The following is a 13756-nucleotide window of genomic DNA, read 5'->3' on the forward strand; positions in this document are numbered from 1 at the left end:
ACAGGCGGCAATCAAGCGTCCTGGACGTCAAGAAATCTAGTTTGTCTGTCGCGCCACGCAGTCAACTGGAGTGTCACTGTGGGTTCTATTTACACCGTTATGAGAAAAACCTGTGGCGGAGTAAAACTCGGTAACTCCGCTCGCAGACCGCCCATCTACAGCAGTGAGCGAACCCAAACCCCACACGGCCAAGTCCCGCGGGTTTCAGGAAACTCCGAAGAGGTCGGGGGCCAGGGGCGACTATGGCGCGGGGGAGGCTGGGAATTGTAGTCTCCACCTGCCTCCGAGGGCGGGGTCCGAGGGCGGGGCTCTCAGGCCGAGGGGGTGGGTGGGTCGCCGAGCGCCCCGGCTCGCCCCGGCGTTTCCGGTCGCAGGCGGGCTCTGGAGGAGGAGGGGCGCCGCGACCGACGCGCGCGAGTTGGTCTGGGAAAAAGGGCGGTGCGAGCGGGTGCGCGCGCAGCGGGCCGGCAGTGGCGGCGGAGATGGAGGAGGGAGGCCGGGACAAGGCGCCGGTGCAGCCCCAGCAGTCTCCAGCGGCGGCCCCCGGCGGCACGGACGAGAAGCCGAGCGGCAAGGAGCGGCGGGATGCCGGGGACAAGGACAAAGAACAGGAGCTGGTGAGGCGCGACCCCGAGAGTCGGCGAAGGAGGCTGCGGGGCTGAGTCACGGCGGCTCCGCAGGCCTCAGGCCCGACACCCAACTACCCCACCGCGCCAGGGAGAGGGCGGTTGGGGCGACCCTCGGGACTCCCGGCACCTTGCCTCTCTGCTCCTCATTCTCCGTTCCGCGCTGTCACCTCCGCCGTCCCCACCAACCCTCACCACCGCCGCGTGAAGTGGACTCGGGCAGGTCATTGTCACCTCCGTTTCCTAGAGTGGCATTCAAGTAGAGCCTGATTCAGAACCCAGGCTGATTTCTCACCAGGGCTTCCCATTCCCACTCGGTTTCCTTGTCCACCTGGCCCCTCCTAAGGAGGCAGGCTTATTCTTCACCTGCCCCGGGTAAGTGGGAGGAGGACGTCTTTGGGATTCCTTCTCTTCATGAGCTGCTTCTCCCAACCCTCCAGTCTGAAGAGGATAAACAGCTTCAAGATGAACTGGAGATGCTCGTGGAACGACTAGGGGTGAGTCACGATGTTAACATGATTCGGTGCATGTTTGGATCTTTCCCACTTGTTTTATTCTTTTTTGAGGCAACTGCTATGTACGGTGGACTGTATTTTAGGGTCAGTGTTATGATGATGTTGGGAGGCAGGAGAGTTACAAAGGGTATTTGTACAGTTTTGCAGCTTTCTCTTGTGGGAGAAGCAGAGTTCTTACCTCTTAACTTGGGTCATTTGTTTTTGTGCCAGGCAGGGTGCAGGGAGTTGAGGAATCACAGATGAATGAATAAGACACAGCATTTCCTTGGAGGAGTTGTTAAGTTAAATATCTCTGTATTATGACTTGAAGGGGTGTGACTCCTTTTTGTCTGAGCCCTGTCGTCTCTTGATCAGGAGAAGGATACATCCCTGTATCGACCAGCGCTGGAGGAATTGCGAAGGCAGATTCGTTCTTCTACAACTTCCATGACTTCAGTGCCCAAGCCTCTCAAATTTCTGCGTCCACACTATGGCAAACTGAAGGAAATCTATGAGAACATGGCCCCTGGGGAGAATAAGGTAAAACTGTTTCAAACCTGGTGGAGGCCTAGTTTAGGAATTCCTTTTTACCCAGATCATGGGGGGACTCATTGTGAGTCACAGGAAGCCTGATAGACCTAAGCCGTGATCTATTTGAGCAGAGTTCATCACAGTCAAAATATCTACAGAAGAGCTGAAAGGAAGGTCAGCTTCTCAGAAGACACTGTTTCTGTCATGTGTATTGGACTTTGGGGTTTCATTAGCATGGTCTACTTTTAACGTATGTTTAACCTTGATTTTTCTCTTTTCTTCTATCCCATATACATTCATTTATCTCTAAAATATGTTCCACATTCAGTCACTTCTCTGCCTGCTGGTACAACCCTAATCCTGGAAATGTTCAGTTTTTGCATGGGTTATTGCAGCACCTCTTAACTGATGTTGTTGCTTTTGTGCTTTGTTCCTACACAGTCTGTCTCTCATGTAGCAGCTATCGTGATCTTTCTCGGTTATAGGTCTTTTCTGCTTAAGACCTTTTAATAGTTTATAATTGCAATTAAAGTAAAATTGAGAGCCTCCATTTTTTTCCACTTTATCCCTCATTTATCACCCTTCAGCTGTGTTAGTTTAAAAGGAAGACAGTGGCTGGGTGTGGTGGCTCACACCTGTAACCCTAGCACTTTGGGAGGCCGAGGGGTGGATCACCTGAGGTCAGGAGTTTTAGACCATCCTGGCCAACATGGTGAAACCCCGTCTCTACTAAAAATTAAAAAAAAAAAAATTAGCTGGGTGTGGTGGTGGGCGCCTGTAATCCCAGCTACTTAGGAAGCTGAGGCAGGAGAATCACTTGAACCCCGGAGGCAGAGGTTGCAGTGAACCGAGAGCACACCATTGCACTCCAGCCTGGGCAGCAAGAGCGAAACTGAGTCTCAAAAAAAAAAAAAAAAGGAGATAGCAACAACACCAACCTTGGTTTTTGTGAGGTTTAGCTTACATAACATGTTAAATTTCTAGTACAGAGATTGGTATGTAGTTAGTTCAGTTTCGGAGACAATGATCTTGATTCCACAATGCATGCTCCCTTTATGCTGGACTGCTGGGTTTGACTTCAAAGAACTCTTTTCTTTATAGCGTTTTGCTGCTGACATCATCTCCGTTTTGGCCATGACCATGAGTGGGGAGCGTGAGTGCCTCAAGTATCGGCTAGTGGGCTCCCAGGAGGAATTGGCATCATGGGGTCATGAGTATGTCAGGTAAGATCTTTCTTCTTGGGAATCCGAAGGGGGCTCTGAGGCTCTGAGATAATTCAGAATTTTCTTGTGGAGTACAATCTGTCTTGGAGCATCAGTGTATTGAATTTCCCAGACGCTGGATTCCTTGACCCACAGAGAAGTGCTTCCCCTGAAGCTGTGCTCTCTTAATCGTCTGGGACTATCTGTAGGCATCTGGCAGGAGAAGTGGCTAAGGAGTGGCAGGAGCTGGATGACGCAGAGAAGGTCCAGCGGGAGCCTCTGCTCACTCTGGTGAAGGAAATCGTCCCCTATAACATGGCCCACAATGCAGAGCATGAGGCTTGCGACCTGCTTATGGAAATTGAGCAGGTGGACATGCTGGAGAAGGACATTGATGAAAATGCATATGCAAAGGTCTGCCTTTATCTCACCAGGTGAGTGAACATGGTAGGGAAGGGTGGCAGGCATGCCCTCCTCAGCACCTCTCTCTCAATTGCGCCTCCTCTATTTTCCCAGAGCATTTGCTCAAGCATAGCATCACGCTGTAGTTAATCTTTTGATGTGTGTGAGTTTCTTGAGGACAGAGACTTTGTGTCTTCTTAGTAGTTCTAACATCTAGCACAGTGCCTGGTGTATATAGTAGATATTTATTATTTATTTTGGGTAAGTGAATTCATGGGGAAAATGAGTGCCTGGGACTTTCTGAATTCTTTGTTACTTTTACTTTTGTAGTTGTGTGAATTACGTGCCTGAGCCTGAGAACTCAGCCCTACTGCGTTGTGCCCTGGGTGTGTTCCGAAAGTTTAGCCGCTTCCCTGAAGCTCTGAGATTGGCATTGATGCTCAATGACATGGAGTTGGTAGAAGACATCTTCACCTCCTGCAAGGATGTGTATGTAGGGAAGAAGCTGGCAAAGAGATAAGCTTACGAATAGGACACTTGCATAAAGAGCTGGGACTTGTAGTTTCTGGTTAGGGCTTGAGGGGTTTTCCTGTGCCCTTAGTGGACAGTGATGAGCAGATGTACGGGCTCTCTCCACAGGGTAGTACAGAAACAGATGGCATTCATGCTAGGCCGGCATGGGGTGTTCCTGGAGCTGAGTGAAGATGTCGAGGAGTATGAGGACCTGACAGAGATCATGTCCAATGTACAGCTCAACAGCAACTTCTTGGCCTTAGCTCGGGAGGTGAGACTGCCCTTTTTTCATCAAGGCCTTTTCGTCATAATTCTACCTGCCATTTCACCTCCCTGACTCTACCTCTGACTAGACTCTCCTTGATTAGAATTGCCATTCAGTGGGATAGCAGAAGGGACAGCTGGGGGAGTTCTAGGGAAGCAATTGTGACCCTCTGACTTCTCTTCAGCTGGACATCATGGAGCCCAAGGTGCCTGATGACATCTACAAAACCCACCTAGAGAACAACAGTGAGTAGCCCTCTCTGTGTATGGGATTTGGGGGATTGTAGGTATGCCCCTTGTATTGGGAGTGATGGCTTGGCCAACATGCTTATCCTATCGAGCTCAGAATCCTCATGAATCTTTTTCAGGTCACTGCTTGGGGGGGTATAGGTAGAGGATACTAAGGGACTAGCTCAGAACCAGAGACCAGTTGCCATGCTGTGTTTCTTTCCTGTCCTACCTGAAACCTTCTTTCCTTACTTTTCCTCTCCCTCCTGTTGCAGGGTTTGGGGGCAGTGGCTCTCAGGTGGACTCTGCCCGCATGAACCTGGCCTCCTCTTTTGTGAATGGCTTTGTGAATGCAGCTTTTGGCCAAGACAAGCTGCTAACAGATGATGGCAACAAATGGCTTTACAAGAACAAGGACCACGGTATAATTCTGTTCCTGCTTTGTCTTTTGTTTTGCTTTGATCACTTCTTTTGTCCTCTTGGAGTCATAAGTTATCTGACAAGGGATCCACCATGCAGTTCTTTGGAGAGCTCTTTATAATAACAGGATCCTCAGGATAGGGCCATTTTAAGACTAATAGATTCTTCCCTGGTATAGGAATGTTGAGTGCAGCTGCATCTCTTGGGATGATTCTGCTGTGGGATGTGGATGGTGGCCTCACCCAGATTGACAAGTACCTGTACTCCTCTGAGGACTACATTAAGGTTGGTCTGCATACAGCCTGCTCATGGGGACTTCCCCGTTCCATATTCTAGTGCCTAGCAGTGCCTCTCTTTCACTGATGAGGTCTGCCCAGTTTTTAACTCTAGTTAATAAGGGTGCTGCAGTGAGGCCCATGTTGCATCCTTTGCGGTGAGGAAGATAGAGTATCCTGAGTGAAGAATCTGTTTGCTCTTTGTAGTCAGGAGCTCTTCTTGCCTGTGGCATAGTGAACTCTGGGGTCCGGAATGAGTGTGACCCTGCTCTGGCACTGCTCTCAGACTATGTTCTCCACAACAGCAACACCATGAGACTTGGTTCCATCTTTGGGTAAGGTTCCTCGCTTGTCTTTCTGGTAGTGCTCAGCCTGTACACTCTGGAGAACAGGAACTGGGCCCTTTTCACCCATATTGCCAAGGGCTACCACTGTGCCTATTGGGTATCTGGCTCTTGGTGAATGTTTGTTGAAATGGTGAATGAATGACCGATTCTCCTTTTGTTCTTTTCTTGCTGCATCGTTGGGTATGTGTTGGGGACCGCCTTTCCATGGCTTTTGCAGGCTAGGCTTGGCTTATGCTGGCTCAAATCGTGAAGATGTCCTAACACTGCTGCTGCCTGTGATGGGAGATTCAAAGTCCAGCATGGAGGTGAGTAGAGGCTATTGAGCATTTAGAGTAAGTAGGGAAGGTGCTTTGAGTCTTACTTTCTGTGATAAATAATGAAAAAGAAGTAAGTGTGTGCATGTGTGCATACATGTACATGCCTGTTGGTGTGTATTGAGGGGCGTCACCTCAGTGAAACCCCTTGATCTGGGATTCTAAGCCTCTGGTGGTTTTAAGGCTAAAGAGTTAACATTTTAGGCCTGGCACGGTGGCTCGTGCCTATAATCCCAGCACTTTGGGAGGCTGCAGTGGGCGGATCACTTGAGCCCAGGAGTTCGAGACCAACCTGGGCAAGATTGTGAAACCCCATTTCTACCAAAAAATAAACAGAAAAATTAGCCGGGTGTGGTGGTGCTCGCCTGTAGTGCCAGCTACTAGGGAAGCTGAGGTGGGAGAATTGCTTGAACCCAGAGGTGGAGGTTGCAGTGAGCTGAGATCGCGCCACTGCACTCCAGTCTGGGTTACAGAGTGAGACCCTGTCTTTAAAAGAAAAAAAAAATTAACATTTTAGTGTTGAGTTCTGTCCCTTGGAATCTCTGAGAAACTACTTGGACTAGAGTGAAGTGTAACTTAACACAGCCTGGGGTTGATGATTCTCCTTAGTATTGTAGTCATTGGTCAGCCTTAAATGTTCATACTTGTGCAGAGTCATTAATGGATAAATACAGCATGGTGGCTAGTGGCATAGATTTAGAGTCAGAAAGACTTGAGTTCAAATCTTGCCACCTCTGCTTATAAGCAGTGTGATCCTGAACAAGTAATTCAATCTCTTTAGGCCGTATTTTTCTCATCCATAAAAGGGGATAACAGCCAGGCACTCATGCCTGTAATCCCAGCACTTTGGGAGGCCGAGGTGGGTGGATCATAAGGTCAAGAGATCAAGACCATCCTGGCCAAGATGGTGAAACCCTGTCTCTATTAAAAATACAAAAATTAGCTGGGCGTGGTGGCGCGCACCTATAGTCCCAGCTACTTGGGAGGCTGAGGCAGGAGAATCGCTCGAACCCAGGAGGTGGAGGTTGCGGTGAGCCAAAATCGCGACACTGCACTCCAGCCTAGCGATAGAGCGAGACTCTGTCTCAAAAAAAAAAAAAAAAAAGCAGTGCAGGGGATAACCTCAGGATCTGTGACCTTGGGGCTGTCACAAGGGTTAAATGTCAATAGTATGTAAAACAGTTGGCCTAGTGGCTGGCATATAGTATATACTCAATGAATAATGACTACTATTGTTATTTTGATATTATGAACTAATGTTATTAGGGAGAATATCTTGCAGTGGACTGTAGGAATAGGCTATCTTGAATCAAGACATAAATATTTTAATAACTTACTCTGTGTAATACTGATTTTCCTACCTCTAGGTGGCAGGTGTCACAGCTTTAGCCTGTGGAATGATAGCAGTAGGGTCCTGCAATGGAGATGTAACTTCCACTATCCTTCAGACCATCATGGAGAAGTCAGAGACTGAGCTCAAGGATACTTATGCTCGTTGGCTTCCTCTTGGACTGGGTCTCAACCACCTGGGTGAGGGGATGTTTCTATTTGGGCAAAGAGCTGACAGTAACTGGATACAACAGGGAGGGTTTATGTGTCAGGCTGTGCTGGATGGAGGCAAGTATCCTCTGACCCCTTGAATCTGTCCTGTAGGGAAGGGTGAGGCCATCGAGGCAATCCTGGCTGCACTGGAGGTTGTGTCAGAGCCATTCCGCAGTTTTGCCAACACACTGGTGGATGTGTGTGCATATGCAGGTCTGTGTCTTTATGAGTCTGTCTTGTGCTTCCCCAGTGACTCCTCACTTCTTTCTTGGTCCTTATTTTCAGGTTGTTTCTCCTTTCTCCTTCATTCTGATCTGCTCTAGATTCTTTAGACTTCTCCTGTTTTCCAAAGCTTTTCCTTGGTAACTTCTCATTTCTGTCCATTCTCCCTCACCACCCTGACGCAGGCTCTGGGAATGTGCTGAAGGTGCAGCAGCTGCTCCACATTTGTAGCGAACACTTTGACTCCAAAGAGAAGGAGGAAGACAAAGACAAGAAGGAAAAGAAAGACAAGGACAAGAAGGAAGCCCCTGCTGACATGGGAGCACATCAGGTTATATGGGCAGCTGGGCACTTGCAGAGAGGCTGTGAGAAGAGATAAGCATATAGGGGAGGCTGGGTTTGGTTTTTGCTTTAGGGCCTCTCTGGGTATTGCCATGTATTGAAATAGCGTGTGACTGGGTTCTGTATGTAAGGGGTAAAGGTGTTCCCCACAGGATGGCTTTTTATTTTCAGATGGGACTTGAGTCAAGGGTGACTGTTTTTTATTCCTTGAGCTTAATGGGTTCTGCTCTCTCTTCAATTGCAGGGAGTGGCTGTTCTGGGGATTGCCCTTATTGCTATGGGGGAGGAGATTGGTGCAGAGATGGCATTACGAACCTTTGGCCACTTGGTGAGTATAGCATGAAGAAAATTGGAATATACTGGTTTTGATGGCCTGGGGTTCCCCAGGGAAGATTTTTCTGATGGGTTTTCTTGGTGGAGAGCTGGTCTTTTTGCTGTGCCTTTTCTTTCTTTTTTCTTTTCTTTTTTGAAGCGGAGTTTTGCTCTAGAGTGCAATGGCACGGTCTTGGCCCACTGCAACCTCTGCCTCCCGGGTTCAGGTGATTCTCCTGCCTCAGCCTCACAAGTAGCTGGGACTACAGGCACATGCCACCATGCCCAGCTAATTTTTGTATTTTTAGTAGAGACAGGGTTTTACCATGTTGGCTAGGATGGTCTCTATCTCTTGACCTCATGATCCACCTGCCTCGGCCTCCCAAAGTGCTGGGATTACAGGCATGAGCCACCATGCCCAGCCTGCTGTGCCTTTTCTACAGAAGTTAAGGCCCCCTTTTACCCATCAGTCCACTCCTGTAATGGAATTTGTTTTTACTGCATTCCGCCTTACTGTTGTATTTTCTTGGATCATCAGCTGAGATATGGGGAGCCTACACTCCGGAGGGCTGTACCTTTAGCACTGGCCCTCATCTCTGTTTCAAATCCACGACTCAACATCCTGGATACCCTAAGCAAATTCTCTCATGATGCTGATCCAGAAGTTTCCTATAACTCCATTTTTGCCATGGGCATGGTGGGCAGTGGTGAGTATCCGGCAGAAGAAGGTCATAAACAGATTGGGGGAAGATTTGAAGCCCCTTTTTTCACTTCTGTAATGCTTAACATTTCCAGGTACCAATAATGCCCGTCTGGCTGCAATGCTGCGCCAGTTAGCTCAATATCATGCCAAGGACCCAAACAACCTCTTCATGGTGCGCTTGGCACAGGTAAAGAATAGAACTCCTCCACAGAGCGTGCCGGGGAAGTATCTGTGGTGATGGAAGGAGGAACATGGAGTGTTGGCCCAGGAGGAAAGATGTGACCAAGTGGGAGATTTCTGTTTGGCTGGGTTAGGCGATGTCTCCTCAGTGGTAACTCCTCACCTCTACTTCCCTCTGTTTTTTTCAGGGCCTGACACATTTAGGGAAGGGCACCCTTACCCTCTGCCCCTACCACAGCGACCGGCAGCTTATGAGCCAGGTGGCCGTGGCTGGACTGCTCACTGTGCTTGTCTCTTTCCTGGATGTTCGAAACAGTGAGTTCCTGTCAGAAATTTTATATCATAGCATGCAGGGCTCTGACTCCACCCTTTCCAGGGCCACTTTGATAATTTAGGTTCAAGACCCCAGTTTAGCTCTGTATCGCTCTAGGTTTCTGAGACAGGCTTTGGGCCTGTGACATGAGACTTTCATCACCCACACTTTTGATCTGGCCCAAAGAGATTTGAGGGTGATGTGCCCAGCGTCTGCTCCTAAGTCACTGGGGAAATGCGATTTTCAAGTCTAAGGGCTGTAAGCAAAGTGAGGTGGGGGCGTCTCTGGTTCGTAGTAGGGTGTATGAGGGGAGGAGTGTGGATTCAGTCGTATGACTGACGGGTTAAAGGGTCAGCGCTGAGGTGGGCTCTCAATGTTTCTGGCCAGGCCTGTCTTTTTGTCTCTTAACTTTTTGTCCTGTCTGCTTCCCTCAGTTATTCTAGGCAAATCACACTATGTATTGTATGGGCTGGTGGCTGCCATGCAGCCCCGAATGCTGGTTACGTTTGATGAGGAGCTGCGGCCATTGCCAGTGTCTGTCCGTGTGGGCCAGGTGAGAGGCTGAGTAGAGGGGAGGGCTCAGGCTGTATTCTCAAACTGGAGAATGTACATATACTTGCTTTGCTGAAACTGGCGTGGGCGGTGGCTTGTCGCTACTTTTCCATCTCTCTTTTCAATTTTCTTACCCTACAGGCAGTGGATGTGGTGGGCCAGGCTGGCAAGCCGAAGACTATCACAGGGTTCCAGACGCATACAACCCCAGTGTTGTTGGCCCACGGGGAACGGGCAGAATTGGCCACTGAGGAGTTTCTTCCTGTTACCCCCATTCTGGAAGGTTTTGTTATCCTTCGGAAGAACCCCAATTATGATCTCTAAGTGACCACCAGGGGCTCTGAACTGCAGCTGATGTTATCAGCAGGCCATGCATCCTGCTGCCAAGGGTGGACACGGCTGCAGACTTCTGGGGGAATTGTCGCCTCCTGCTCTTTTGTTACTGAGTGAGATAAGGTTGTTCAATAAAGACTTTTATCCCCAAGGTCTCTCTGTGTCTGTTTTCTGGGGTGTCATGGCTGGAGTCTAAACTAGAGTAAGGAGTGGAAGTGAGAGGGCATTGTTAGGAGCAACGCTGAGTTTAGGTTAGCAGCACTGCCCTGGATGGAAAGAACTGAGCCCCTTCCCTCCCCTGGGTGGAAAAAACTAAGCCCCTCCTTTCTAATCATCTTCTCTTTGCATTTTCTTAGAACCCTTGAGAAGCCAATAAATGTAATGGATCTTCTTTTTGTTTTGTTTTGTTTTGTTTGAGACAGAGTCTTGCTGTCTCCCCCAGGCTGGAGTGCAGTGAGGCAGTCTCGGCTCACTGCAACGCCTGCCTTCCGGGTTCACGCCATTCTCCTGCCTCAGCCTCCCAAGTAGCTGGGACTACAGGTGCCTGCCACCACGCCCGGCTAATTTTTGTTTTTTGTTTTTGTTTTTTTGAGATGGAGTCTCGCTGTGTCATCCAGGCTGGAGTGCAGTGGTGCGATCTTGGCTCACTGCAAGCTCCACCTCCCGGGTTCACGCCATTCTCCTACCTCAGCCTCCCGAGTAGCTGGGATTACAGGCACCTGCCACCACGCCTGGCTAATTTTTCATATTTTTAGTAGAGACGGGGTTTCACCATGTTAGCCAGGATGGTCTCGATCTCCTGACCTTGTGATCCGCCTGCCTCAACCTCCCAAAGTGCTGGGATTATAGGCGTGAGCCACCGCACCCGGCAAATTTTTGTATTTTTAATAGACGGGGTTTCACCATGTTGGCCAGGATGGTCTCGAACTCCTGACCTCAGATGATCCACCTGCCTCGGCCTCCCAAAGTGCTGGGATTACAGGTGTGAGCCACCGTGCCCAGCCAATGGATATTCTTCCTAGGAGACGCAAATACACAAATTTTTACACAAACTCTTCCAAATAACTTCAGGGGGCTTGTGGATCCTGTAAATAACCCCCCACACTCACCCTCCACCACCAATACACCCTCTTCAAGCCTATCATCTTCTGACCTTGGGCTAAGGATGCCCAAGAGTGGGCAGCCTCATACTTTTCTAACTTGACTTACGTGCTACTGAATGAAAAGGACATCTTTACCTCCCGCAACCATCTGTCCCTCTTGGGAGGCTGCTATGAGGAATTTGATCATGTTAACATCTACTTCTAGGATGTCCTTGTAGAAAGTGGATTCAAGAAGGCTTGACCCTCAGCCTCCCAAGCAGGTAAGGTAGGGCTACAGGTGTGTACCACCACTTCTGGCTTTTTTTTTTTTTTTTTGAAATGGTCTCACTCTTATCACTCAGTCTGGAGTGCAGTGGCACAGTCATAGCTCACTGTAGCCTCAAACTCCTGGACTCAAGTGATCCTCCTGACTCAGCCTCCCAAGTAGTAACTAGGACTATAGGCATGACCCACCACAGCTGGCCTACTTTTATTTTTGTGGAGGTGGGGGTTTTGCTGTGTTGCCCACGCTGGTCTCAATCTCTTGGCCTCAAGGGATCCTTCCACCTCAGCTCCCAAAGTGCTGGGATCACAGGCATGAGCCAGTATGCCTGGCTATTTATTTATTTATTTATTTTGAGACAGAGTCGTGCTCTGTTGCCCAGGCTGGAGTGCAGTGGCGTGATCTCGGCTCACTCTGCGTCTGGGGTTCAAGAGACTGTCTGCCTCAGCCTCCTGAGTAGCTGGGACTACAGGCATGCGCCACCATGCTCTGCTAATTTTTGTATTTTTAGTAGAGACGGGGTTTCACCATGTTGGCCAGGATGGTCTCGATCTGACCTTGTGATCCACCTGCCTCGGCCTCCCAAAGTGCTGGGATTACAGGTGTAAGCCACCACACCTGGCCCAGTTATTTTATTACTAAATTTTTTTAGAGACAAAGTCTCACTTTGTGGCCCAGGCTGGAGTGCAGTGGCATGATCATGGCTCACTGCAGCCTTGAACTTCTAGGCTTAAGTGATTCTCCCACATCAGCCTCTCAGGTAGCTGGGATTACAGGCATGAGACATCAGCAATTTTGGATTGAGTCATCTTGGCAGCCTGTATAAAAAGGTTGAAACAGGATTAAGGAATCCCTGTTGAGCCCCTTTATGGTTCCTGCCATAATCTTCAAGTTAGCATGTGTGATGTGATGAGCCTCTGTTATTATATAATGTGGATATAGTAGTTGCCTTACCTGATTTCCAGTGGTGGTGATGTTAGAATAAAAAGTGATTTGTAAACTAAAAAGAATGATTCTCTCCCAAATTGTGATTTAGGTGATTGTGCTTTAGAATAAGACAGTTTCATAGTGGCTTTTAACCTTTCACCTTTAGTTCTTCATTCATCAGTGAATAGCAGTGGAGCCTTACTCTGCATCAGACATTCGTCTAATTTATGGGGATGCAAATACAGAAAAAAACCCCTATGCTCAAAAAGTTTAATGAAATGATGAAAACAACTGTGATCGATACTTACCAGGGTGTGAACAAGGTACCCTGGTATCACTGAGATGGGGCCTAAGTGCCTGGGGCAATCGGGGGACTTTGAGGAAGCTTATATCCTTAGAGGAAGATAAGTTTGTACAGAGGAAAAGAGGGCAGAATATAGCTAAGGGAGTAGCAAAGGCAAGAAGGAGGAAAAGCTGTTTTCAGAAACTTACAGATAATTTGGTTTGGCTAAATGTATAGGGGCCAGGGAAAAGGGTGGTAGGAGATACAGCTGGAAATTCAGGCTCAGACTAGGTTTACAAGAGCTTTGTTGTGCTAAGAATTTGACAGTATCTTTCAATGGGGCCCACTGAATGAGAGCAGAAAAGTGACATGATCAGCTATCTGGGTGAGAAAGCTAACCCTGGAGGACAGGAGAGCAGGCAAGGAAAATGAATGCTTGAACTAAGGCAGTTGAAATGGGGACATAGGGAAGGGTAGAATAGTTATTTTTTAAAAGATAAGATCAATAGGACTTGATTTTGATCCAAATACCAGTAAGACCTGGTGTCTGATTAGATGTAGTGTGTGGATGGAGAAGGAATATAGGATGAATCCCAGATTTTCAGGTTAGGCACTATCTATTACGTAAGCAACAATATATTTGGGGGACTTGATTGAGTAGGGAAAGTTAACAAATTCTGGCCAGGTAATAAGTATCAGAGTTTGGATGAAAACTCAAGCAATCTGACCTGTGGATTTGGCTGTAGATGATGGTCCCTTCTGGCCTCTGTCAGCTTTTTCTTTTTTTTTTTGAGACGGAGTTTCGCTCATGTTGCCCAGGCTGGAGTGCAATGGCAGGATCTCAGCTCACCGCAAGCTCCACCTCCCGGGTTCAAGCAATTCTCCTGCCTCAGCCTCCTGAGTAGCTGCGATTATAGGCATGCGCAACCATGCCTGGCTAATTTTTGTATATTTTTAGTAGAGACGGGGTTTCTCTATGTTGGTCAGGCTGGTCTCAAACTCCCGATCTCAGGTGATCCGCCTGCCTCAGCCTCCCAAAATACTGGGATTACAGGCGTGAGCCACC

At 48.5% G+C, this 13756-nt stretch overlaps 1 protein-coding gene across 3 annotated transcripts, besides 1 other annotated feature; it reads left to right on the top strand.

Moving 5' to 3' along the window:
- Positions 125-464: a silencer, noted in NCBI's record as "silent region_14959". NCBI's record gives its function as "represses an Ori minimal core promoter by ATAC-STARR-seq in GM12878 lymphoblastoid cells {active_cell/tissue: GM12878}" and the evidence as "EXISTENCE:reporter gene assay evidence [ECO:0000049][PMID:35858748]".
- Positions 457-10266, top strand: PSMD2 (proteasome 26S subunit ubiquitin receptor, non-ATPase 2). Of its 3 annotated transcripts, NM_002808.5 has the most exons (21): positions 457-617; positions 1067-1123; positions 1496-1660; positions 2753-2874; positions 3063-3287; positions 3586-3744; positions 3895-4039; positions 4218-4278; positions 4536-4682; positions 4859-4965; positions 5163-5290; positions 5520-5607; positions 6984-7146; positions 7270-7371; positions 7566-7711; positions 7967-8050; positions 8573-8741; positions 8830-8924; positions 9106-9232; positions 9665-9783; positions 9924-10266. In NM_002808.5, exons 1-21 carry the CDS (start codon positions 483-485, stop codon positions 10104-10106), a joined length of 2727 nt encoding a protein of 908 aa, NP_002799.3. In that variant the 5' UTR covers positions 457-482; the 3' UTR covers positions 10107-10266. The 3 variants fall into 3 exon arrangements, with proteins under 3 accessions (NP_002799.3, NP_001265637.1, NP_001265638.1); NM_001278708.2 differs by lacking the exons at positions 457-617; positions 1067-1123; positions 1496-1660 and adding an exon at positions 1797-1901; NM_001278709.2 differs by lacking the exons at positions 457-617; positions 1067-1123; positions 1496-1660 and adding an exon at positions 1797-1901 and having other exon boundaries at positions 3074-3287.

The sequence above is a fragment of the Homo sapiens genome, chromosome 3, assembly GCF_000001405.40.
Source record: "Homo sapiens chromosome 3, GRCh38.p14 Primary Assembly".
Classification (NCBI taxonomy): Eukaryota; Metazoa; Chordata; class Mammalia; order Primates; family Hominidae; genus Homo; species Homo sapiens.